This window comes from Homo sapiens, chromosome 5 (genome assembly GCF_000001405.40).
Source record: "Homo sapiens chromosome 5, GRCh38.p14 Primary Assembly".
Taxonomy (NCBI): Eukaryota; Metazoa; Chordata; class Mammalia; order Primates; family Hominidae; genus Homo; species Homo sapiens.
In genome coordinates this window covers 134,572,211-134,597,781 of record NC_000005.10, presented here as the reverse complement: position 1 = coordinate 134,597,781, position 25,571 = coordinate 134,572,211, and the positions used below count along the sequence as shown (strand labels likewise).

At 51.8% G+C, this 25,571-nt stretch overlaps 1 protein-coding gene and 1 non-coding gene across 27 annotated transcripts in view, besides 6 other annotated features; one reads left to right on the top strand and one right to left on the bottom strand.

The window, feature by feature from the left end:
* Positions 2,619–2,688: an enhancer, noted in NCBI's record as "active region_23158". NCBI's record gives its function as "activates an Ori minimal core promoter by ATAC-STARR-seq in GM12878 lymphoblastoid cells {active_cell/tissue: GM12878}" and the evidence as "EXISTENCE:reporter gene assay evidence [ECO:0000049][PMID:35858748]".
* Positions 3,164–3,303: an enhancer, noted in NCBI's record as "active region_23157". NCBI's record gives its function as "activates an Ori minimal core promoter by ATAC-STARR-seq in GM12878 lymphoblastoid cells {active_cell/tissue: GM12878}" and the evidence as "EXISTENCE:reporter gene assay evidence [ECO:0000049][PMID:35858748]".
* Positions 4,770–5,363: an enhancer, noted in NCBI's record as "NANOG-H3K27ac-H3K4me1 hESC enhancer chr5:133928109-133928702 (GRCh37/hg19 assembly coordinates)". NCBI's record gives its function as "activates a minimal SCP1, AML or CMV promoter by ChIP-STARR-seq in primed H9 embryonic stem cells {active_cell/tissue: H9 hESC(primed)}" and the evidence as "EXISTENCE:reporter gene assay evidence [ECO:0000049][PMID:30033119]".
* Positions 6,184–6,243: an enhancer, noted in NCBI's record as "active region_23156". NCBI's record gives its function as "activates an Ori minimal core promoter by ATAC-STARR-seq in GM12878 lymphoblastoid cells {active_cell/tissue: GM12878}" and the evidence as "EXISTENCE:reporter gene assay evidence [ECO:0000049][PMID:35858748]".
* Positions 14,555–25,571, bottom strand: part of JADE2 (jade family PHD finger 2) — a 59,219-nt gene continuing 48,202 nt past the window's right edge. For 9 of the 26 annotated variants that reach the window (NM_001437916.1, NM_001437914.1, NM_001308143.2 and 6 more), the window contains 3 exons: positions 24,020–24,137; positions 20,886–21,014; positions 14,555–19,288 (listed from right to left, as the gene is read on the bottom strand). In NM_001437916.1, the coding sequence (NP_001424845.1) occupies positions 18,465–19,288; positions 20,886–21,014; positions 24,020–24,137 (1,071 nt within the window). In that variant the 3' untranslated portion in view covers positions 14,555–18,464. The remainder of the gene's footprint in view (positions 19,289–20,885; positions 21,015–24,019; positions 24,138–25,571) is intronic. The other 17 variants (NM_001437915.1, NM_001388188.1, NM_001437917.1 and 14 more) reach the window with 3 other exon arrangements.
* Positions 15,643–16,174: an enhancer, noted in NCBI's record as "H3K27ac-H3K4me1 hESC enhancer chr5:133917298-133917829 (GRCh37/hg19 assembly coordinates)". NCBI's record gives its function as "activates a minimal SCP1, AML or CMV promoter by ChIP-STARR-seq in naive and primed H9 embryonic stem cells {active_cell/tissue: H9 hESC(naive and primed)}" and the evidence as "EXISTENCE:reporter gene assay evidence [ECO:0000049][PMID:30033119]".
* Positions 16,175–16,707: an enhancer, noted in NCBI's record as "H3K27ac-H3K4me1 hESC enhancer chr5:133916765-133917297 (GRCh37/hg19 assembly coordinates)". NCBI's record gives its function as "activates a minimal SCP1, AML or CMV promoter by ChIP-STARR-seq in naive H9 embryonic stem cells {active_cell/tissue: H9 hESC(naive)}" and the evidence as "EXISTENCE:reporter gene assay evidence [ECO:0000049][PMID:30033119]".
* LOC124901191 (U7 small nuclear RNA) lies at positions 19,592–19,651 on the top strand. Its single transcript, XR_007059143.1, has one exon. It is a non-coding gene; the product is annotated as a U7 small nuclear RNA (small nuclear RNA).

Sequence of the window (25,571 nt, the reverse complement as noted above, 5' to 3'; positions counted from 1 at the left end):
TTTCTTGCTTCTACTTAGTAAACAAATTAAGCCTTGCCTTGGAATGTGGATTTTTATTCTGGGGGCAATATGGAGAACAATTTGAGATTTTTTTTTTTTTTTCCAAGACAGACTCTCTGTCACCCAGGCTGGACTGCAGCTGCAATCATAGCTGCAATCATAGCTAACTGTGGCCTCAACCTCCTGGAGTAAAGGGATCAGCCCACCTCAACCTCCTAAATAGCTGGGACTGCAGGCACACACACCACATCTGGTTAATATTTTTATTTTTTTTGTTGTTGAGACAGGGTCTCGCTATGTTGCCCAGACTGGTTTCAAACTCCTAGCCCCAAGCAGTCCTCCTGCCTTGGCCTCCCAAAGTGCTAGAATTACAGTATGAGCCATGGCATCTGGCCTAAGATGTGTATTAAAGTCACTGAGACTTCAGTGATGGCAATATACTACTACAAACAAGCTGATAATGTTATAAAAAGAAACTGAATAGTTTTTTTGCTTGATTGTATTGAAGAGGTTTGGGATAATGGGTAACAGATTCCTTTAGTCAAAAAACTTTGCATGAAGCATGTCATATGGATGTCATGGTGAAAGATCACTGGAGGTTAGGTAAGGATGAAAGAGAGAGAAGCACTTGTTGGGGGATGGGGGGAGGGGGCATAAAACGGAGATTTTTGTTCCCTGGTTTGTGTGTGTGTGTGTACGTTGTTTTTGTTTTTTTGATACAGAGTCTCACTCTGTCGCCCAGGCTGTGGTGTAGTGGTGGGATCTTGACTCCCCGCACCTCTGCTTCCCAGGCTCAAGTGATCTTCCTGCCTCAACCTCCTGAGTAGCTGAGACTATAGGTGTACACCACCATGCCTGGCTAATTTTTGTATTTTTAGTAGAGATGGGGTTTTGCCCTGTTGGCCAGGCTGGTCTTGAACTCCTGACTTAAGTGATCTACCTGCCTTGGCCTCCCAGAGTGCTGGGATTACAGGTGTGAGCCACTGTGCCCTACCTATTCCCTGGTTTCTTGAGCTAAAAGGAACTTATTTATTCATTTTTTGAGACAGTCTTGCTCTGTCACCTAGGCTGGAGTGCAGTGGTGCAACCTTGGCTTGCTGCATCCTGGGCCCAAGCAATTCTTGTGCCTCAGCCTCCCAAGTAGCTGGGACTACAGGCGTGCACCACCACAACCGGCTAATTTTTGAATTTTTTTTTTTTTTTTTTTAGTAGAGTTGGGGTTTCACTATGTTGGCCAAGCTGGTCTCGAACTTCTGATCTCAAGCGATCCACCTGCCTCAGCCTCCCAGAGTGCTGGGATTACAGGCGTGAGCCACCATGCCCAGCCTGTTCCCTGGTTTTTTGAATTAAAAGGAATTTAGGCTGGGTGCGGTGGCTCACGCCTGTAATCCCAGCACTTTGGGAGGCCGAGGCGGGCGGATCACAAGGTCAGGAGATCGAGACCATCCTGGCTAACACGGTGAAACCCTGTCTCTACTAAAAATACAAAAAAATTAACCGGGCATAGTGGCGGGCGCCTGTAGTCCCAGCTACTCGGGAGGCTGAGACAGGAGAATGGCGTGAACCCAGGAGGCGGAGCTTGCAGTGAGCCGAGATCGCGCCACTGCACTCCAGCCTGGGTGACAGAGTGAGACTCTGTCTTAAAAAAAAAAAAAAAAGGAATTTAATGCGAAAGTTGATGGTATTGTAGTCTTGTTTCATATGCGATTAGTAACATCTCAGAAGCTGGAGAGATGGTAAACATTACAAAGTAACAGCACCATTCTTGGGGTTCTCTCCAAGCCCCTGGGTTTGAGTTGAAGTCACTAGGTCCACCTCCTGATTTACTAATCAGAAACCAAACCAGATTGATTGCAGTCTGGAGAGAAGCAAGTTGACTTTCTTCCATTCCAGGGACTTCAGTTTTGAGAACTGAGAGTCCAGGAGCCCCTCTTTGGGTGATGGACAGAATAGGTGAGTTCTAGCCCCGTTCTGGGTCCCAGAGAGGAAAAGTAGGTGGGAGCTTGTTTGTGACTGGGGGCTCCATTGTATGAGAACACAACTCTTACAGTTACTGAAGGAAACCATGTAATGATTTCTTTCCTGACTGCCTGGCAGCAGATGGCAAGGGCATGAAGCTATTTAGAGAACACGCTGAGTTTTTTTCCCACCCCAACTTCTATTTAGGGCCAGGCTCAGAATCATGAGTCCCTTGAATCCTCTGGCACTCGGGTGGCAGTGGAGCCCCTCTTGGATTTACTCAATCTGCCTTCCTCCTTGGAAAAGTGATATCTTGACCCTTCTGATGACCTGGGACTGGGTGGCCTTTTTGCCCACTCCTTATGACAGTGCTGGGCTGGACAAAATAAGGGGCAAGGTCCCTACTCACAAGATTGTCTCTTTTCTCTCTTTCTCTCACACACACAAAACCTTACATAAGGGAAATGATTGGTTATCACCAGGGACTTAACCAATTGTGCTGAAGTGTTAGATTCTGGCTTGGGTGCTTGGTCTCACTTTCTGTCTGCCTGCCTTTTAGTCAGCCACTCAGCAGGCACTTCCTGAACACCTGCCTGCTGGTGGCTGGCATGGCATAAAGAAAATGTGCAGAGATCTGCCCAAGACAGAATGGAAGGCAAAAGGAGAAGGCTTCCACACATTATGGAGGAGGTTTATAGAAAGGGGGCACCAGAGCTGAATCTCGGAGTACAAACTGGTTTAGTGGAGAAGGGGCAAGAGGGGATATTCCAAGCAGAGAGACCAGCAAAGACAAAGGTGTGGAGGCAGGAAAGAGCACACAATGACTTGGGAGCTGGTAGAGCTCAGTGCCTGAAGAGGTGTCACGTGGAGAGTGTCCTAGAAGGAGGCGAGAGTGGAGGGTAAGACCACAGAGCATGAGGCCTGAACTATCTAACACCAATTCCAACACCAACAATTTTATGACATATGGCCATGTTTTCCAAGCCAAGGTAGAAGCCAGTGATCCCCCAGGATAGTCTGCTTATGGGGCCATCAGATCAGGATAGACTATTTGAAGTTGAGACCATCTGGACAGACATGTGTCCTCAAAATGCCAAAATGACTGTTGAGCATGTGTACCAAAATGTGTGGTACTGATGATGGGGAAGATTAAACACAAGATGAAGCTGTTGAAACAGCAGGCACTGCTGCCTACGCACAAAAAGCCTGGCTGGGCCCTGGGGGTGGAGATGGGGACTCACTGTAGAGAGCTAGGAGCGGGGAGCCGAGACAGCACCCCTCCCCTCTCTGACACTTCTCTGACACTCTGACCTCCGCCAGGTGCAGTGGTTCATGCCTGTATTCCCAGCACTTTGCGAGGCTGAGGCAGCAGGATCGCTCGAGTCCATGAGGTCAAGGCTGTGGTGAGTTATGATTGCACCACTGCACTCCAGCCTGGACAACAGAGTGAGATCAGTCTCAAAAAAAAAAAAAAAAAAAAAAAAAAAAGAAGGCGGCCAGGCACAGTGGCTCACACCTGTAATCCCAGCACTCTGGGAGGCTGAGGCGGGTGGATCACTTGAGGTGAGGAGTTCAACACCAGCCTGGCCAACATGGTGAGACCCCGTCTCTACTAAAATACAAAAATTAGCTGGGCATGGTGTCACATGCCTGTAGTCCCAGCTACTTGGGAGGCTGAGGCAGGAGAATGGCTTGAACCTGGGAAGCGGAAGTTGCAGTGAGCTGAGATCACGCCATTGCTCTCCAGCCTGGGTGACAGAGCAAGACTCCGTCTTAAAAAAAAAAAAAAGAAAGAAAAAGAAGAAGGCTGGGTGCAGTGGCTCACACATGTAACCCCAGCACTTTGGGAGGCCAAATTTGGGGGAGCACTTGAAGCCAGAAGTTCAAGACCAGCCTGGGCAACATAGCAAGACTTCATCTCTACCAAAAAAAAAAAAAAAAGCTGGGCATAGTGATGCATACCTGTGGTCCCAGCTACTGAGAAGGCTGAGGCAGGAGGATTACTTGAGCCTGAGAGGTAGAGGCTGCAGTGAGCCATGGTCATGCCAGTTCACTCCAGCCTGGGCAACAAAGCAAGACCCTGTCTCAAAAAAACATAAAGCAAAACAAAAAAACCTCTGACCTGGGACTGTCTTTGCCTGAACAGTGGAGCAGTATGGTGGTTTCATCCATTAAGCAGAAGTGTAATGGATGAAGAAGGGAGAATACCCTGTGTTTTAATCCCCTAGGAAAGTACTGAACTTGAAAAATCAAGTGGGCAGAGTAGCTTAACTGTCATGAAATAGTCCAAAGACTGCCCAGTGAAAGTGAATTGGACTTCATCTATGACTCCAGGACTCAAGAGGACCTGTGAATAGAAATGTCAGGTGTCAAAGAGACATTACAATTGAATTTAAGAGAGACCTTTTTAACACAGCTGTGGGTTGCCTTTCAAATGATGGGCTGTTGTTGGAATTCAAACAGTCTCTCCTAGAGAGGGGAACTCCATGGGATAGTGATTGGATGAAATGAGCTCTCACACTCTCCCCAAACTCAGAGGTCCTACAAACCACATGAGGCTTTTCAGATGAGGGCCATGAAGGAGTTAAAATTGACGGGGCAAGTTAGTGCCAATCCCATGCCCTTTCTTGACTGGATGGAAGTATTCCTGGAGGGGAGAGGAATCCCTAAGATTTACTCTCTTCTTGAGAGTCCCCTCTGATCCCCGATGCCTCTACGGGGGCATGTCTACTTCTCCTGTGACATTGGCTCACTTGAGACTCTTTTTTTTTGGGACAGGGTCTCACTCTGCCACCCAGGCTGGGGTACAGTGGTATGATCACAGCTCACTGCAGCCTCCTGGACTCAGACTATCCTCCCACCTCAGCTTCCTGAGTAGCTGGGACTACAGATGCCCACCACCACACCCAGCTAATTTTGTATCTTTTTGTGGAGATGGGGTTTTGCCAGGTTGCCCAGGCTTCACTTGTGACTCTTACCTGGATGTGGCAGAGATAAGGCCCATCCATCAGACCTCCCTCCCAAGCCTCCTAGGATGCTACTTCAGTAAGGAATGGGCATGAATATTCCAGCTGGCATTTAGGGAGCAATGCTTTGATACCAAGCAACAGGCACTAGAACCAGGCAGGCTCCCAGAGTCCCAAAATAGCAGTTCAGAGTACCCACAGGTGAAAGTTTATTTTGCTGAGTCACTTTTCCTCCTTGGCTTCTACAAACCCTTGGCTGTTCTTCTGAGTTTCATGTTAATCACAACATTCAATCCCTAGCAATGGAATGTTCCTTTTTTGCAAAAGGGGTGAGGTGAGGGCACAGGAGGGATGTCCTATTCAACTACCTCTAGCCTCTCGGGTTACAAGCTTTCAGGTGTGAAGGATGATCACAGAGCTGACAAGGGGCCTGAGTAACCCACAAGGCTGGGGAGCTGTGTGGTTTTTTGGCCCAGGCAGCTGACTGTCAGATATGTGACTGAAGCGGCTTCTCTGACCATCAGCTGTTTGCAACCAGCCCCCATCTAGGGGCTGCACCGGGCCAGTCCCTAGAGTGGAACTGACCCCAGACCACCGTTGGGCTTAGGGAGGCCCGTGAAAACTTGTAAACAAACAGGGTTTACCGGCTCAGAATCCGGGAAGTGAGAGTTGGTAAACAAATCCCTCTGGCCTCCTTGCCTCTGGTCAGTCAGCAAGTCTGTGAGTGCTCTCCTGTACCACTGTGTCCTGCCCTCCTCTAACACCTTTTGTGGCTCCTCATTTTGTCCACTTCATACCCATGTCCTCTTTGAGCCTCTCAGCCACCCTGCATGGTGGGCCCAGCAGGAGCTCTCATCCTTATTAACAAATGAGGAAACTAAGGGCCAGAATGCAGGTCAATAATTTTCCATTACCCCAAGGACAACAAAATTCCATTTCTAGCAGCTTCCTCTTTCGTGGTGGATTCATGGATAAATTCTCTAGACTTGAATGGCCACATGTTGCTTAATGTTCATTGAGAATGGAGGGAAGTGGCCGGGAGCAGTGGCTCATGCCTGTAATCCCAGCACTTTGGGAGGCTGAGGTGGGCGGATCACCTAAAGTCAGGAGTTTGAGAATGGAGGGAAGAATAAGGGGGACCACCCACTAAATACAAACCTCTAGACCCGAGGCAACCCACTTGAGCATTATCCCAAAGACAGAGGCCTCCATCCCTATCAGGGAGGCCTAGGCCCCCTTCCAAGCCTGAGGAGGGATGCCTCCTCTTCTCTTCCAGTGCCTCTAGGCCCTGCTCCATGCTTCACCGTGTCACTATCCCAGCCCGACCTGGCATCTCACCCCATGACCACGCCCATGACTAATCCTGTGCTCCTAATGGCACACTCACCTGGTGACAGATGAGTCAGCCGCCACAATGGTGTTCTGATGGTGCAAAGGTGACAAGCTGAGTGGATAAAGCTTCTTCCTTCTCTCCTCTGCCCAAGTTGTGTATGGAGGCTCACCCAGCCCCATCTGCCAGCTAGCCCCACCTCACCCAGCTGGCCTCAAGTTAAAGGGCCCTGGTGAGATAGGAGAATAGGGAATTAGGGTCACCAAGGATCAAGGCATAAGCAAAAGAACAGCAGGTGCAGCCACTTCTAGGCAAGATTAGGCAGCATACAGGCCACATCCTCACTCCTGTGATAACAAGACAGAAATTTCCACTTCAGCCTCTGATTGACCACGGGCCAAGTATCCACTTCAGCCTCTGATTAGTTGCTGGCCAATCTGTCATAGGGTATAACCAACTGGAGGCCTTTAAAGGGTACCTAGGAGTGTTACCAAATTCTTTTTTTGTTTTTGAGACAGAATCTTGTCCTATCACCCAGGCTGGATTGCAGTGGCTTGATCTCCACTCACTGCAAACTCTGCCTCCTGGGTTCAAGCAATCCTCCCATCTCAGCCTCCAGAGTAACTGGGACCACAGGCACACCACCATGCTCAACTAATTTTTTCTTTCTTTCTTTCTCTCTCTCTTTTTTTTTTTTTTAGTAGAGACTGGGTTTTACCATGTTGGCCAGGCTGGTCTCGAACTCCTGGCCTCAAGTGATCCACCCGCCTGGGTCTCCCAAAGTGCTGGGATTACAGGCGTGAGCTCTAATCCACCAGCCACCAAATTCTTTTAGTTTAATAAGAACCCTAAAGAACATTGCAATGGGGCTCTGGAGCTGCTTGCTCGAGCCTGCTCCCACTCTGTGGAGTGTACTTCCACTTCAGTAAATCACCTTCATTGCTTCTTTCGTTGCTTTGTTCTTTTGTTTCTTTGTGTGTTTTGTTCAATTCTTCGTTCAGTGCGTAAGAACCTGGACAACTCACAGTCAAGACCTTCCATCCGGTAACACTGGAAAGCTTTCCCTTGCCCTCTGACCACAGCCCCTCCCCACAGGAGATGGACTTCAGAGGTCACAGATATCCCCCAACCTCTTCTCCCATTGTACAGATGCAGAAGTATCTCCCAAGTAGCTGGGTCCATCAAGTCAGTGGCAGAGAGAAGACTTCTCGCTCCTGGGTCAGCCGTAATTTCCTAGAGCAGTGTGCAAAAAGCCTTTTAGGGAAGGGAGGTGATTATAATTTCAAAAGAGCTTTGAGTTTGAGTTTGAGTTGGGGGACTTAGGGGAGTCACGGATGGTGCTCTAGGAAAAGCAGAGGCCCAACATGAACTCTTTTTAAAAAAAAACTGTTTTAAAATGGTTTCTTCTGATGGCCGGGCACGGTGGCTCACGCCTGTAATCCCAGCACTTTGGGAGGCTGAGGCAGGCGGATCACTTGAGGCCAGAGTTTGAGACCAGCCTGGCCAATGTGGCGAAACCCTGTCTCTACTAAAAATACAAAAATTAGCTCGTTGTGAGTGCCATAATGCCAGCTACTTGAGGGGCTGAGGCACAAGAATTGCTTGAACCCAGGAGGTGGAGGTTACAGTGAGCCAAGATCGTGCCACTGCACTCTAGCCTGGGTGACAGAGTGAAACTATCTTAAAAAAAAAAATTCCCCAGAAGTAAAATAAAATGGTTTCTTTTGCTTTACATTATGTTTGTTGCAACAAAGCAGTTGGGTGGTATTACATGTAGCAGGTTTTTTTTTTTTTCTACAGTATCATTTTTTTCTTAAACTGCAGCAAAACAAACAAACAAAAACCCCAAAAACACAAAATTCACTCTCCCGGGCTAGGTACGTGTAATCCAGCACTTTGAGATTCCTCGAGCTCAGAGGTTTGAGACCAGCTTGAGCAACTTGGCGAGACCCTGGCTCTACTAGAGAAAACAAAACAAAACAAAACACAACAAAAACAGCTGGTCATGATAGTGTGTGCCTGTGGTCCTAGCTATTCGGGAGGCTGAGGTGGGAGGAGCACTTGAGCCTGGGGGCATGCAGAGGTTGCAGCAAACCAAGATCGTGCCACTGTACTCCAGCCTGGGTGACAGAGTGAGACCCTGTCTCAAAAATAAAAAAATAAATTCACCCTCCCAACAATTTCCAAGTGTAAAGTACAATATTGTCAACCACATGCCATTGATGGGCAGCAGAGCCCTGGAACCACCCTCCCGTCCTGACTCTGTGCCTCCTAATCAATTCTCTTCCTCCTCCCCCCAGCCCCTGGCAACTACCTTTCTACTTTCTGCTCTATGATTTTGACTACTCTAAGTACCTCCTATAAGTGGAATCATACAGCATTTGACTTTTTTTGACTGGCTTATTTTGCTTAGCATAATTTCCTGCAGGTTGATCCATGCTGTAGCACAGGACAGGATTTCCTTCTTTTTTAAGGCTGAATAATATTCCATTGTATGTGTATACATTTTCTTTATCCATTCATCTGTCAATGGATATTTAGGTTGCTCCTACCTCTTGGCTATTGTGAACAGTGCTCCCACCAATCTGAACTCTTTAGATGTTGAGCTGAGACAGCAAATAAATGGGCTTGTGAGCTCTGGGGAGCAGAGGTCCTTCAAGGACACTACGGAGCTTCTGTTCAGCATTGGATTGGAATGTCAGGTATAAGGGAGGCTGTGGCTGAGTTAAGACAGGCCCAGCTGTGTCCTGGGTCACTGGCTGCAGCCCATTTTCCATTGTTCTCACACTGTAGGTGTCATCATGTTGGGGTTGTTGGGATAGTTTAGGATTTGCCACAGTGTATAAAACATGGAAAACCATGCTCCTGCCTCAGCCCCCTGCCTGGAACACAGTGGAAAGAGGGACCTGAGGCTTCCCACTAGGAATGCCAGGGAAAATACAGGATGCAATATTTGGAAAATGTACTGAGGAACTACTCTCTGAAATTTGAATGTAACTACATGCCCTATATTTTTATTTGCTAAATCTGACAGCCTCCCTCCTACCCACTGAAAATCTCTCCAGCCAGCAAATGGGGACCCTGTATCCCTACCCATGTTTCCTCAGAATGGGCTGGTGCGGATGCTTCTGAGCTCAGGCCTGGCTTGGAGTACTGGGGGCCAAGCAATACTCTGCTACGATGAGCTTGCCCTTAAGCCACCTGCTTGACTGAAACCCCATCCTTTCTTCCCTCCCTTTGACTCTTGGCAGGGAGTCCATCTGAACTCAAAAGGCTGCCTTGAAGTCCATATTTTATTATCTCTCTAAAAAAATTTTCTTCAGACAGGTATGGTGGTTCATGCCTGTAATCCCAGAGCTTTGAGAGACCAAGGGCTGAGGTGGGAGGATCACTTGAGCCCAGGAGTTGAAGGCTACAGTGAGCTGTGATTGCACCACTGTGCTCTAGCCTAGGCAGCAGAGTGAGACCCTATCTCAAAGAGTGAGACCCTGTCTCTTTTTTTTTTTTTTTTTTTTTTTTTTTTTTTTTTGCAGTAGAGATGAGGTCTCACTATGTTGCTCAGGCTGGGCCTGAACTCATGGGCTCAAGCGATCTTCCCAATTCAGCTTCCTAAAGCACTGGTATTACAGACATGAGCCACCACTCCTGGCCAATCTCCTTTTTTTTTCAGATGGAGTCTTGCTCTGTCACCCAGGCTGGAGTGTGATGGCACCATCTCGGCTCACTGCAACCTCTGCTTCCTGGGTTCAAGGGATTCTCCTGCCTCAGCCTCCTGAGTAGCTGGGATTACAGGTGCCCGCCACCATGCCTGGCTGATTTTTGTATTTTTAGTGGAGACGGGGTTTCACCATGTTGGCCAGGCTGGTCTCAAACTCTTGACCTTGTGATCCGCTTGCCTCGGCCTCCCAAAGTGCTGGGATTACAGGTGTGAGCCACCGCGCCCGGCCCTCCTCTTTTTTATTCATTATTTTTATTTTAATTTTCTTTTCTTTTTTTTTTTTTTTTTTTTTTTTTTTTTTTTTGAGACAGGGTAGTTGCGAGGCCACTTGGAGCTACCTGCATTTCCAGCATGGGCCAGAGGTGCCTATGTGAGTCCTGAAGCTTTCATCGCCAAGAAAAGATGCCTTTGCTGCCTCCTCTGGCCGCTCTGAACACAGTCGGAGGCTGCAAGGAGGACTGAGGCCAGCTCTAGAAGGACCAAGTGCTCTCTCTCTCTCCACTCTGCTGTGAACTTCCTTCCTTTCTTTGGCAGGGTCTGGGTCTCCTTAGCCACCCATCCAACCCGGGACTGGGCACCCAGCGGACCTCAGCCAATAGTTTATTCTCCCAAGAGGCGCCTCGTCCCTTAACAACCACCCTGTCACTGAAGCCTGATAGAGAAGACTCTACTCTGCCCTGGCTGGCAAGGGGGCATGCAGCAGGAGGTGCTGGAGTGCAGGAGCCTCAGCAGGGACAGAGGAGGGGGAGGCTGGAGCTCTGCAACCTGGAAATGAGGGGTTGGCCCTGGCCCTGTGGGCCTTGCCACCCGCGGTGGGAGTTGCCAGGGCTAGGGCCTAGCGGGCAGCAGGGGGCGCCCCAGACCCTATCTTGCAGGAGTTTGGAGCGACTAAGGGAATTCAGAGAGGGCAATGGAGACTTTCCTCACCCCACAGATTAATACTCTCTCACTAGCAGCACAGTCTCAGTGTGTCACTGCACACTGATTTGTGATTATCTACTTAAAGTCTGTCTCCCACTTTGGCCTGGTCTCTGGAAGGGGCGTGTTGTCCCCACAGTGTCCTCAGGGCCCTGCAGCAGATTCTCAGTGAGTGCTGAATCAATATCTCAATATCTGCATGAATGAAAGGTGGTTCCCTAGGCTGGGCGCAGTGGTTCACACCTGTAATCCCAGCACTTTGGGAGGCCGAGTCAGACAGATCACGAGGTCAGGAAATCGAGACCAGCCTGGGCAGCCTGGTGAGACCCCGTTTCTACTAAAAATACAAAAAATGAGCCAGACGTGGTGGCGAGTGCCTGTAGTCCCAGCTACTTGGGAGGCTGAGGCAGGAGAATCGCTTGATCCCGGGAGGCAGAGGTTGTAGTGAGGAGGGATCGCGCCACTGCACTCCAGGCTGGCCAACAGAGTGAGACTCCGTCTCAAAAAAACAAAAACAAAAACAAAGGTAGTCCCCAAGACCACCCCCAGCCTCCCATCAGATCCCTATGCCATCAGCTGTGAGTCCTGGTGGCAAGAGGACTGGCCCACCATGAGGGAGCTGCGACCAGGTCAGTGCCATCCTCCTCCAGTCCCACACTCAGGGGCTCTCAGCGGGCAGGGATAGCCAACTCCAGGGGAGAAGCCTAGGAGTGCTAATCAAATGTGAGACTCCCACCCTCAAGCAGCCATGTAGGCTGGTGCAGAGAGGATCCCAGAGGGACCAGGGCTGGGAATGCAGGGCCAGGCCTGGTGGTCCTCAACCTCCTGCCTTCCCTTGGGGAAGGGGGTCAGGGGTTCCTCATGGCTATCTGTCTCTCACTCCATAGGAGCCTGGATGACTCCTGGGCAACTCAAGGGAAGGCTGAGGGTCTCTAGGGCTCTGCTGCCCAACAGGGTAGCTACTAGCCACATGTGGCTTTGAGCACTTGAAATGTGGCTAGTCTGAATTGAGATGTGCTGTAAGTGTAAAATACACCCTGGATTGTGAAAAGAATGCAAAATCTCTCATTAATAGTTATTTTACATTGATTACATGTTTAAAGACATTTGGATGTAATGGGTTAAATAAAATATATTATTAAAATTCCCTATATCTGTTTTTGTTTGTTTGTTTTTTGAAACAGAGTCTCACTCTGTCGCCCAGGCTATAGTGTAGTGGTGCTATCATGGCTCACTGCAGCCTCAACCTCCCAAGCTCAAGCAATCCTCCCACCTCAGCCACCCGAGTACCTAGGACTAAAAGTGTGCGCCACCATGCCCAGCCAATTAAAATTTTTTTTTTTGTAGAGATGGGGTCTTGCCATGTTGTCTAGGCTGGTCTCGAACTCCTGGGTTCAAGCAATCCTCCTGCCTCGGCCTTCCAAAGTGCTGGGATTACAGGCATTAGCCACCATACCTGGCCCTGTTTTTCACTTTTTAAAAATGGGGCTACTAGAATTTCAAATGTGACTTGCACTATATTTCTAAAGAACAGACCAACATGTACCCTGAATCCCCCTGCCCTACATTTATCAGCTGGGTTAGGTTCACAGGTGAGGTTTTATTTATTTATTTTGTTTGTTTTTATTTTTGTTTTTTTTAAAGACAGACTCTTGCGCTGTCTCCCAGGCTGGAGTGCAGTGGCATGATCTTGGCTCACTGCAACCTCTGCCTCCCGGGTTCAAGCAATTCTCCTGCCTCAACCTCCCTTTAGTCCCTGTAGCTGGGATTACAGGTGTGCATCCCCACACCTGGCTAATTTTTTGTGTTTTTAGTAGAGATGAGGTTTCACCAGGTTGGCCAGGATGGTCTCAAACTCCTGACCTCAAATGATCCACCTGTCTTGGCCTCCCAAAGTGCTGGCATTACAGGTATAAGCCACCTGGCCCAGCCGACACAGGTGTGGTTTTAGAGTGAGGGGCAAGCCTGAGTCATTCTTCTGGATCACTGTGGTCCTGCTTTGGGCTGGCTGCAGGAGGAGGGAGAAGCTGTGGTGCCAAGTCCACGGCAGCTGGGCCATGGGGCTGACAGTTTCTTACCATGGCCAGGTGGGCTGGCCACCCAGATACCCCCTCAGCCCCAGGGCTGATTTCCTGCCAGCATCCCATGCTGATTCCACAGTTGAGGACGCTGAGCTCTTCCCATTCACAGCTGAGCTGCTGGAGCTGGGGCTGAGAGAACATCCACAGCCTGTTTTTCCAGGTTCCCAGGTGCCCTAACAGGGAGACCTCCCTCCACGGGCATTTTGGGCACACACACACTCCACCCCAAATTTACTTCCAATACCTTGTGCATTGTGGACTCAGAACATTGGATCTGGAGGCACCCTTGGGAACCTACCGTCTACTGCTCTGGAGAGGAAATGGGTCAATTCTCTGTGGCAAACAACTAAGTCAGTGGCCCCAGAAGCTAAGATGCTTTGAGTCTTAATGTAACCTCTGTCCCTCACAGCCTTGTTCTGAGCCCTCAGAGGAGGTTCAAGACCCTCCCGATATAGCTTGATCCATCTTTGCATAGGCCAAACCCTCTATGAGGAATGCCCGTCATCCCTTTCTCCGATGCAGCTTCCCTTGGGCTAGCAACTATTTTTCATTAGGTCTCCAATGTCTGGAGGTTCTAGGGGGACAGGGGCCTGGTGACATGCACAGTATACAACCCAGCACACTGGCAGTGAGGTGTCCGGTCAAGACTACTTGTTGAATGAATCAATGAATCAATGAATTAATGGTGTCACTTCCTCAGAGAAACCCTTCCTGAACCCCTTCACCCCTAGACCAGCCCAGGCCTCCATGAAAACTCCCAGTTCCCTCACTGCCTGTGTGAGCCACCCCAAGCAAGGACAGCAGCTATATTCCCCACACTCTTTTCAGAGCCTGGCTCAGGGTAGGTGCTCAGAAAATCATGAATGAAAAACAAACTCAAGCAAAAATCTTCACTGACCTAGGGACACTCCCTGGAGGCTCCTCCCAAACTTTCCTACGGTCCCAGACAGGTGGTTGTAGCAGGTGGGGAGTGCAGCAGTCCTGCCTTGGATGCAGAGCTTTACCTCTTAGCACATCTTCGACTTTAGGTGCATCCCTCATCCTCTCAATTCCAGGGGAACATATTGAAGATCAAATGAAATACTGCCCTGAGGCTAGGGGCGGCTTACGCCTGTAGTCCCAGGACTTCAGGAGGCCGAGGAAGACGGATCACTTGGGCCCAGGAGTTTGAGACCAGCCTGGGCAACATGGGAAAACCCTGTCTCTACAAAAATTACCAAAATCAGCCAGGCATGGTGGCATGCACCTGTAGTCACAGCTACACGGAAGGCTGAGGTGGGAAGACAGCTTGAGCGCGGGATGTCAAGGCTGCAGTGAATCAAGATTGCAGCCTGGGTGACAGAGTGAAATCCTGTCTCAAATAATAATAATAATAATAATAATGAAAAATATAAATACTGCTCTGAAATTATAGCCCTTGGTGTGCACTGAACATCTTTATTATGATTCCTTAGGAGGTGGCAGCTGATCCCTTGGAAAACTCAGGGACCCCGTGGTTTTGCTGAGCCCATTGTCGGGTGTGTGTGTGGGACTCCCAGGGTTCCCTACCCCATCCAATGCAATGGAGCCTCACACCAGCCAGCACAGAAAACACTGCTTTATTAACTGCGTTTGCCAACACACGAGGAGTGCAAAGGGCTCCCTATGACACAAGCCCTGGTGGGGCCGGGGTCTGGAAGCCCCCATGAGTGAGCAGGACAGGATGGGGCTGGGAACTATGCAGCAGCGGCAACACAGAATCATGCAGGGCACAGCGGGCACTGGCCACACCCAGGTGACCATACATTCTATTGCTCGTTAAGGGTTGCGCACATGGACAATGTACAAAAAGGAGAAATAGGTCTTTGCGTTAATGAAAAATACATTTTTTCTCTACAAAGGAATCTTTTCTAATACAAGAAAATAAATATTGCAACATAAGCCAAAAATAATTTAAAATTGCTCTTTTCAATATATTTTCAATATTTCTCTTGTATATTAACAAATGGCACATCACTTTCTTTGAAACAAAGACAGAAGGTGTCTCCTCCTGTGACATTCATATCATCCCCCCACCGTCCCCTCAAACTGACGTGGAACACAAAGTGTTTGTGCCTCTGAGGGAGAAAGTGGCAGGAGGTGCCTTAAAGAACAACCAAAGGTCTCAGACTCCAGCCCTGGCTCATTGGCCAATGTGGCCAGCGAGGCCAAGGGCATGGGAGAGTGCCCTCCCCAAGGGCCTTGCTATAGAAATCCAGATCATTTTTCAGTGGTTTGCATATGGACAAAGGTTGGCCACATCTGGCAGTTAGCAAGGAAATGCCAAGTTCAGCCGCTGCCAATGTTGGTTAGAATTGGGCAGTTGAATCTCTAGGAATTGTCCCAGCTAGTCCCAGTGTGCCCATACACAGTATACACAGGCATGCCTGCATACGGACACACGAGACGTGGCCTGGCACACCCCCCACAAACAATTCAACATCTATGTCTGGAAACCTGGGGTGGCTTCTCCAAGGAAGCTGAGGCCCTTACATTGCAAATGCTCACACACTGTCACTAAGTCAGGCTCATTTAATAAAATAAACCCTTCTACCTTTCTTCTTCTCATTTGTTTCAAAATACATTTATGATACATAAAAATACTTTTCTTGCACATTATCCTTTGTCATGTGATGAGGGGGAAGGAGGTGGTGGGCGGTCAGGTCAGTGAGAAGGGGGACGATAGCCAGAATGAGTTACAGAGCAGCTTCTCCTTCCCTGCGGAGGAGCTGTGTGTGGAGGCAGATGTGGTTGAGAGAAAGATCTACCTCCACCTCTGACCTGGAAAAGGAACCTGCCTCAGTCTCAGGGACAGCAAAGCCCTCTACACTGGGGACAGTAGACCGGAAAAAGACAGAAGCGGCTGTGACCAACAGGGGAAAGGCTGGGAACTGGGGGAGGATGGGTGGCTGGCATCCTTCTCCTTGCAGCCTGCTGGACATCCTGGAGGTGGAGACAGCTGCCTGAAGAAGATTGCTCCAGGGCTTGGCCTGGGAGTGAAAGGGCACCCCAAATGAAAGGCCACCCCCCTCCCCTCGCAGCAGCCAGCCAGCCTAACAGACATCTGGGTTCTGCAGGACACAGGCTCAGCAACAGTCCAGTCCAAAGCAACAGCCAATGAAGAAGGGCCAGAATCCAGAGGCCAACAATGTGAGCAGAGGCTCTTGGAAGAACACCAGCCAGCCCGAGGCAAGGGGCCAGACTCGTTGCACCCTCTCCCTAATTCTCCACCCACCCCTGCCACCAGGGAGGCCCAGCCCCTGCCCCAGGATGGTGTGAAGGGGCAAGGGGCCAAGTGCTGAGACTGCTGGACCCTGGGCTTTCTGGGACCCCTGGCAGAGTTTGGTTGTTCTTTAAGCTCACCTCTTTGCTTCCTGCAGGGTCAGACCGGGCAATCTGGCACAGACAGGGTTGCAGCCCGAGGTGACCCAAAGCATGGGGAAGGAAGAAGTTCTGTTCAAAGGCAGTAAACAGAGACTGGGGTTGGGACACTGATGCTGACACTGACTGGTCACTACTACCAAGGCGGGCAGGCAGACTAAACTCTACAGGGTAGCTCATGCCATCCCAACGCCCAGAATCCTTGAAGCCCACCCCACTCCCTCCGAGTCCACCCGGACTAGACACATTTGTCCGATCCTCTGAACTGAGTCATTATCTTTGTTTCCTGTTTTGCTAAAATTCACATGAAATTGAGTGTCGATGACAATGCCACTGTCGTACCTTGATAGTTTTGGAGTTAGGGGTGGATGAAGGTCAAGCTGTTCCCCATCCTGCTTATTTGCTTTATGTATTTGGGGAGGAGGGAACCACATGGTAAAGACGTTTTCCATGCTGGTTTCACCGTCAGTATCTTTCCCCTCTGTGAGTCTCACAGTTTAGGAAAGCTCACAGTGGGCTCAGCCCAGGATCTGAAATCTAACACCCAGGTACACTTCAGCAGCAGCAAAGCATCCTCTTCCAAGCGCTTGAGCTCTTCTCCTTGGGTGTGTGCAATGAACATGTTTCTATACTTTGTTGCTAAAGAACTCCATTTAAAAAAAAGTCCAAATGACAAGTTGTCAGGTCCAGGCTGTGCTGTATTATGGTCAAAATATTCTTTGGCATCCACAGAATGATTCGACTGATTCACTGGACTTTTTGCAAGGTTCTTTTTGGAGAAGTTCTGGCTTTACCAGTGGTGGAAGTGACCCAGGAGTAATTCATCAAAGAAAAAAAAATGTTTTCACGGAATTCCTTTTTTGTTGTTCCCTGAGCTATCACCCTGGGGCCACTCTACTGAAACTCTTCAGAGCAACTACCTGGGACCTAAGGGTGGGGTGGGGAAGGCAGGACGGCGGGGGGGGATGGCAGGACGGGGGGGGGGATGGCTGTGCGAGGGGTTAAGGCTCAGGAACAGGGGAACATCCAGCAAGACTTACAACAGCCCCAGCGGCCAACACCGGCCCGCCCTGGGCCCCGGGATCCCACTGCTTGTTGGAAGGAGGAGTTTCCAAAAGGAAACCACGGAAGAAGCTCATCTTGTAGCAGGACTAGGAAACTTGAAAAGGCAAACGGTCTGGTCTGGTCAGCTCTGTCTGAGCGTGACCAGACTTCGGCCGAGACTGGCCCCGAAGGAAGGAAGGAAGTTGGAGCCTCAGAGTGATTCTCTACAGTGGGCTGGTCTGAGCCCCATGACCCTGTCTGGGCACTGGCCCTCCCCTACAGCCCTCCACCTGCACTGGCAGCTGGCTGTTTGGGAGTCCCCTGAGTAAATGGCACAGCTCAGGAGGGATTCTGGGAACCCCTTCCCAGAGCCGCTGGGCTGGGCACTGGCAGGGGCAGAGCAGCAAGGGAGGGGAGGGTGGCAGGGTGGGCAGGCAGGCCTCAGATGATACGGGCTGATCAGGAACAGCTTTCAGTTCCCCTGGAACTAGCGGGCCCTCTGCACCCCCTCAGTGCTTTCTCATATAAACTCGTTGTGCTTGTGACAGTGAGTAGACTCTGGCTGGGTATCGTTTATTATACTTCCTTGGGGATCGGTGGAGTGTAGCAGGACCCCCCAAATGGACCCCAGTGGGATCTGGGGGCAAGGCGGGGTAGGCCCTGGACTGGCCCATCTGCCATGAAATAATGCCCAAACGACAGTCTGTGTCACCCAGTGGCAGTGGGCTGGAGTCCTGAGCTCTTGTCCACCTTGCTTGCATCTAGCCAGGAGCCCAGCAATACCACGTGGGCAGGGCAGGGATGGTGCGCGGGACCTGGCAGGGTCCTAGCGGCCGGAGCCGTGGAAGGAATCCTAATGTCCTAGGCCAGCACAGAGGAAAGACAACAGTGTAGAATTCAAAACTCTCTCTATATTAAAAATAAAACCACGACGGAGTGGCAGCCTCGAGGGTCTGGGACACTCAGCAGAGACTGGAAATGGCAGTTGTGACTGGGCTGAGGCCTTGTGGGGGGACCAGGGCAGGGCCTGGGACAGGGAAGGGGGTGAGTTAGGAGGCCAGTACGCCCATGCGGACCACCTCCTCTGCCCCTGCCTCCCGGGGACCCCGCTGCACCCCACCGTCCTCGGCCTCTACATCTGAGTCGCTCATCTCCCCATCAGAGAAGTAGCCATCAGTCTCAGTGTCAAAATGCAGGCTGACCTTGGGCCTCTCAGCCACAGCTGAAGGTGGTCCCATCCCAGCATCAGGCCTGGCACCCGGCAATCTCCGGGTTACCTTGCTCTCGCGGGGTGGCCGGAGCCGGCCCAAAGGCTTAGGGCTTGCTGCAGGGCCAGGCACTTGGACATCTGAGTCAGCAGCTACTGAGGCTGCCTCGTCCGGGGTCTCAGGGGCCAGTGGCGGGGGGCTTTCAGGGGTGGCTAGGATGGGACAGTCCCCGGCTGCAGGGCTGGACGGCAAGTGAGAAGATGTCCGACGTGGTGGCTTCCTGGTAGGTGGCCCTTGACCCCCCTTGCCACTGCCTGCATCCTGGCCCCAGGTCTTCTTGGGGGCTTTGTCTGGAGTCGTCCGTGAACCAGGCCCGTCCTGCGGTGGTGGTGGTGGTGGTTTCTTCTTGGCAGGCAGGCGGGTGCGGCCTCGGGCCTTCCTAGCAGGGTCACCAGGTCGCAGCGAGGGGTCCCGCATGAAGCTGAGCAGTGTCTCCTCGTCCTGCAGCAGTTCCTCTGACAGCAGCCCTGGAGCAGGGTCCTCGCGGTGCCCATTGTTCAGTGGCCACTCGCTCATGGCCATGTTCTCTGCTGTGATCTGCACCGACTGTGCCAGCCAGCTGTTGAAGAAGGTGCCATCGATGGGGAATGAGGTGGACAGGCCTGCTGAGGGGAGAGAGGAGGCAAGTGAGACGCCAGCAGACGTGTGTCCCACCCTTTCAGGAAGCCCACTGACGCTCCCAGCACACCACCAGGCATCGTCTTCTCTCTGTCCCCCTGTGCCAGACCCAGGTGAGCTATCTTGTTTTGTCCATCCCTCCTGCCAACACCACCAAAGAGTAGGGACTACTTATACGCTTCTCTCCAGAAGGACGTGCTGCCCTCAAGATGGGCTTCATAATTTGTGGGCTAGAGTGTAAAATGAAAATATAGGCTCCTTGTTCAAATATTATTAAGAATTTCAAGGTGGAGTGTTATAGCTCTTTTAGTTTGTCTAGCAGGTTTTTTGGATTTTACCAGAAAGCCTGCCATGGGAAAGAAAATTCAAGGTGGCAGCAGCAGAGCATTAACCAAGAACAAGGACCCCGTGGCACTGCACAGGTTGCTACCCACGAAGTTGGACCTGCCCACTACCCCCATTCTGGTGGGGTTGGGGAAGGAGGAATCTGGAGGAAAATGCCCTCAGGCCGCCAGAGGGCGCTCAGTCTTTATAAGCGTTGCCTCCCAGCGCTTGCAGCAAAGAGCATGGATAAAGGGATCAGGTACGAATAGGGGTAGCAAGCAGTATCCAGTCCCTCCTGGATGTCAGGGAGAGGGGAGGCAAGTGAGACGCCAGCAGATGTGAGGGCGGCAGAGCCTTCCTTCCTTACCGAGGTCTTGGGAGGGGGCAGCTGGCGAGACGGGAGACTGGGTTTCCTGTTAGACACCCAAGTTATCCCCTTCTTTTTGCGGGAGGGGTGTGAAATGAAGGAACAGGGTCTTGCTCTGTCACCCAGGCTGGAGTGCAGTGGCATGATCATGGTGCACTGCAGCCTCAACCTCCTGGGCTCAAGCGATCCTCCCAACTCAGCCTCCTGAGCAGCTAGGAATACAGGCATGCACCACCACGCCTGGGTTGTCCCCTTCTTGAGACAGAGGGACAGAAAGGATGACCTGGGGCTTCCATCCCAGAGGCAAGGTCTGGAAGGGGACTCCATGATGCTCCCTGAGATCTCTGGAGGAAGCACGTGAGGTCCATGAGTCACACTGCTCCCATTAGGCTGCTCTGCCTAACAGGAGGCCTGGGACAGTGGAGGTGGTGGGCAGGGCCAGAGCCTGCAGCCACTCCTCTGGGCAGCTCCAGGAGAGTCTGCTGCTGTTGCAGGAAGGGCCCACTTAGAGGATTCTGGGAGAGTAGGACAAGGATGGGGCTTTCTGGCAGATCCTCCCCTCCCAGCATGGGGCTGTCCCAGGGGCCTCTGGGAAAATCCAGCACCCAGGACCCCCCAGCCAGGGGAATGACTGGACAGTTCCTGAGTGGGCGTGGCCCAGCCTCCATCCAGGTCTACAGACGGGGCATTTCCCAGGATGTCACACGGGGCTCTGAGATCTGTCTCCTTTGTGGGTGGAAGGTGTGTGCACCTGGGCAAGCAAGGGCCTGGTTACCGCTCTTGAGCCTCAGTCTCCTACTCTGTGCAGCTGGCCTTCCGCAGGGCAGACAGAGCTGCAAGCGTGGTGATGGTCAAGCCTGCCGTGTCTGCAGGCCAGCATGGCCCTCACTCACCCAGCTGCCCCAGGACTGAGTCAGGCCCCGCCTTCACTTTCTCTTTCTTCTCAGTGCTGCCCTTGGAGCCCTCGCAGCCCTTCCTCTTCGAGTCACTCTTCTTGCCCTTTGCTCTCCTCCCAGACCGCTCTGTGTCAGGGAAAGTGAGAGGAGGAGGGAGATGGTTACCCTGAGTGGCCTCGGTCAGCACCAAGATCCCTGCGTGGCAGCCCAGGAGTCCTCCATCAGCCAGTGCTCACCCTCCACAGCAAAAAGGTTGGAGTTAGGGGATGGCTGGCATGGTGGGGTGGACCAACTGTCCACTGTGGCCTGTGGGGGACTTGGGGTGGCCACAGGGCCACGAGGAGAGGCCCTCGCAGGACCTGGACTCCAGTCTGACCTGCACAACCTGTAGTCTTGGGAGAGAGTGTGGGTGGTGGGAAGAATGGCTGGAAGGGAGTCTGGACAGGGCAGGGCCTTGAATGCCAGGCTGAGGAGCTAGACATGTAGGTGGAAGGAACACTACCTGAGGGGTCAAGAGGCTTGGGTTCCATTCCTAACCCCAGGGTCAGCAACCCTGAACCAGTCTCCTGCCATGGTCTCTTGGTTGGCTTTCAAAGTCAGGCAGCAAACTAGATGGGAGATTCAGGGTGCACCCCTGGCCCTTGTATCCTTTCAGTTCAGGCCAGGCCTCAGTCTCATCTGTTTTGGTTTGTTTTGAGAGAGAGTCTTGCTCTGTTGCCCATGATGGAGCGCAGTAGTACAATCATAGTTTACTGCAGCCTTGACCTCCCAGGCTCAAGCGATCCTCCAGCCTCAGCCTCCTGAGTAGCTGGGACCACAGGTGCATGCCACCACACCCGGCTAATTTTCAAATTTTGTAGAGACAGGGTCTTGCTATTTTGCCCAGACTGGTCTTGAACTCTTGGGCTCCAGTAATCCTTCCACCTTGGCCTCCCAAAGTGCTGGGATTACAGGTGCGAGCCACTGTGCCTGGCCACATCTGTTTATTTATTTATTTTTTAGAGACAGAGCCTGGCTCTGTTACCCAGGCTGGAGTACAGTGGTGTAATCATAGCTCGCTTGCAGCCTCAAACTACTGGGCTCAAGCAATCCTACTTCTGCTCCCCAAGCAGCTAGGAATACAGGCATGTGTCACCATGCTCAGCTAATTTTTGTATTTTTTTTTTTTTGTAGAGACAGGCTGGTCTGGAACTCCTGGCTTCAAGTGATCTTCCCACTGTGGTCTCCCAAAGTGCTGGGATTTTAGGCATGAGCCACTGTGCCTGGGCAATCTCATCTGTAACATGGCATGTAACTAATGCCTAGATACTCTGGAGGCAGGCTCCTGAGGCTCCCCACTGCTCTCAGGACAGTGTAAGCTCCTCCCCCAGGCTACAAGAAGATCTCGCACATGTGACCCAGGTTACCCGTCATCCCCACTTTAGGAGTCTTCCTTCTGCCTGGTGCAGCCATTCCAGCCTCCTTCCAGTTTCTCTGCCAAGACATGCTCTGGCCACTAAGTCTCCAAATATGCTGTTTTCTTCTCCTATCCTTCACCTGATTCAGTTCACAGGCCAAATATCATCTCCACTAGGAGGCTTTGTCCAGCCGCCAGGCCAGACAGCCTCGCCGATATGCACACAGCCCATGTCCCACCCCAGGCGTCAAGCCTCTCAACAGTGTGAGCAGCAGCTTTGGACAGGGCAAACCAGTCATCTCCAAATACCCTGCCCTGCCCTGAACAAAGAGCTGCCTGTTGTTGACACTCAAGACAAGGAGTTGCAAATGTCCCCAGAACCAATGTGGGGATGTGGACCCTCCAGGCTCTTGCCCATGCTTCTGGAATCCTGTGCCTGAGGGCACTGCTCGTGGCTTGCCACCCTCTGCTTCCTCAACTGTGGGTGCCTTGCATGGGCTTCTCCTTCTGCAGCCGATATGTGGCCACAGCCAAGTGCCTGAGATGTTGTTGGAGCATCACTGCTTCTGGGAAGACATCCCTGATACTTCTATCCCTAAACTGGCAGCAACTGTAGCGTCTGCGATACCACATTCCTCTCTCTCTCCAGATGGTGCATTCCACAAGGGCAGCAACCCTATCCAGTCCATGCTCAGTTAATGCTGGCTGAGTGAATAAACAGAAGATAGGGGGCCTGGAAAGCTCCAGCAGCCAGGAAGCTGCCACAGTCTTTGGGTACACGGTGAGCTCTACATGGTCATGACTAGCACCTGAACTTGGCAAGGCTAGATGTTGGGGCCAGAGTGGGTGGTGATGCCAAAGCACAATCAGGTCAGCTCAGCTCTGGGGCAGAAGTAGGGGCAGCAGAGGTCCTCAGTCATTTGCTCCAACGGTGGCTCAGCAGCTTTCCTCTCCAGGCCCAGCTCAGCCCTGAGGCTGAAGTGGCATTGGCAGACCCTGGCTCAAAATCTCTCTCCATCCAGCTATTTCTGCTGCATGTAAACGCAACACTGGGGTACTGTTTTGGGGGCTAAGTGTTGCCCTTCTTAACATGTATACGCTCCAAGAAGGGCCCTGTGTCTGGCAATATCCACAATTAACAGATACGATCAATGTCAGCGCTTCCTTCAGCCTTTGATTTCCAGATCCACTAAACGCATGTGACGCCAAGAGAATAAGAATAATAAGAATGAAACAGTGAAAAACACCGCGGATGCAGGGCATAAATCCTGTTAGGGTCAGAGAGAAACAACAGCCAGGTCCTGTCACATCTCTGGGACAGCTGCCTTCTTCGGAACTGACTCCCAGGCACACCAGGGTTCAGGGAAGCTCACCAGCTTCTGGCCCTTCCTGCCTCAGCACCAGCAGAGAGCCACTAGGACTTCTTCTCTGTACCTGTTCACATGCAATCAGCTCCTGAACTGCTGTGGCCTAGTCAACCAGAAAGCTCCCTGAGGGCAGGCCTGATGCCCACATTCCAACCTCTGGCTCTCTGCCTAGTGACGCACAACTCAGGACCCTTGCAGGCCCCCGTCTGGGCCTACTAATTGGATGGTGAAGGGTAGGAGTGGGGGCCAGTGGCCCTTGGCTCCACGCACATACCCCCACCAGGATCCAAAGACACACCCTCCTTGGGACCCAGCCCCGCAAGAGAGGGCACAGGGAGGTGGCGGCGGCAGGTGGGGAAGGCGCCTACCTCGACACAGATCCTGTTCAATAAGTTTCATCTGCAGGTGGAATATCTGCTCCTGGAGTTTGCAGATGGCGTGTTTCGTTCTCTCGCGCCTTGTCACCATGTAGCACAGATTTCTAACCTGAGAAAACAAGAGAGATTTTCCACCTTACTCACAGGCAACCACCCCAGACCTCCCAGCTCTGGGGACCTTGCTATGGGTGGAGGCAGTGCCAGGGGCACAGGCTACCGCCACAGCCTATCCTGCCCAGAACATCTGCAAAACAATTCCCAGACCCTGAGCGCATCCTCAGCCCTGTGCTGCATGTCTCGGATCCAAAACCTAAGGCCAAACACAGCCTCAGCCCTGTGGTCCCCGGCTGAGCCAGAGCAGCCAGGGAAAAGCATCTGGTTAGGTCAACCCGGCATGCCCACCTTCCTCCTCTGAGTCTTACCTTCCTGGTAAGGTCAGCCAGGCTGCCTCCCAAGGCCCTGCCAACATGGTTGCTGTCCTTTATAACCACAGTGCCCGCAGACTCATCAGGGTCTCACCAGGTCACCAACCTCATCCCTCTGCCTCCTGTCCAAGGCCTTTCTTTCCCAGCAAAGAAATTCTTCAGACATAAATGGCATGGCAAAAACTAACACTTGTCCTGAGCCACAAATGGCCCCGGTACTTGCAGCCAGAGAGAACGCCATTGGAAGAGCTTTGAGCAGAAAGTCCTAACCCACCTGTGCCCAGCCTGCAGCCAACCCATGTCTATCCGCTGCACTGGGACCTGAGCCAGGCTCACGCCATGCTGGCCAAGGCTTCCACATCTACACAGCCACCTTCACTCTGCCACAGTGACAGAACTCCTCAGCAGAGAGGGTAGAGGCCTCTCTGACTGCCTCAAGGCCAGCTGGGAAGAGCCCCTTGGGGCCTTAGACACCAGCTTGCTAAGCTCATGGGACATGGACCCTTCTTATAGGTGGTCCCACAGGAAGCACCTGCAGGATGGACCATGCTACTGCCTGCCCACCTGGCACCTTACCCCAGTGGGCCATCCCTCCCTGGCTGCTCTCAGGGCAGGCCACACTTCTGAAGCCAAGACCAAGCCCCCTCCCTTGAGACACTTCCTTGGTCTTCAGCACAGGATGGAGACTCCATTATCAGGGACAGTTGGCCAAAGCTGCTCAGCTTGAATCCTGGGTCCCACCAGGGTCTTTCCAGCTGGGACCAGGCTGTTTCCCGTTGGGTTCCATCTTCAAGGCTGAGTTCAGCCTTCATGTCCTTAAGCTGGGGTGACCTCTGGTTCCAGACCCCCTGCCTGTTGGCATAACCATTTCTCCCAGTCCGAGGGCAGCCAAGATCAGACCTCTCTTCTGCGTACGGGTATCCTCCGTTCTTTCCTGAGCCCAGCCGTGAAGGATGTACCACAAAGGTGGCTCCAGCCTCAGGCCTCCACACGATGTGCTCTGCATGGACTCTCCGTGGCCTTCCACGCTGGTGTGTGCGCCCTCAGCTCGAAGACCGTGAGCACCAGGCCACCCACCTCTGAGCCTCAGCTCCGCCTATCCCTATGGCCAGTACCAC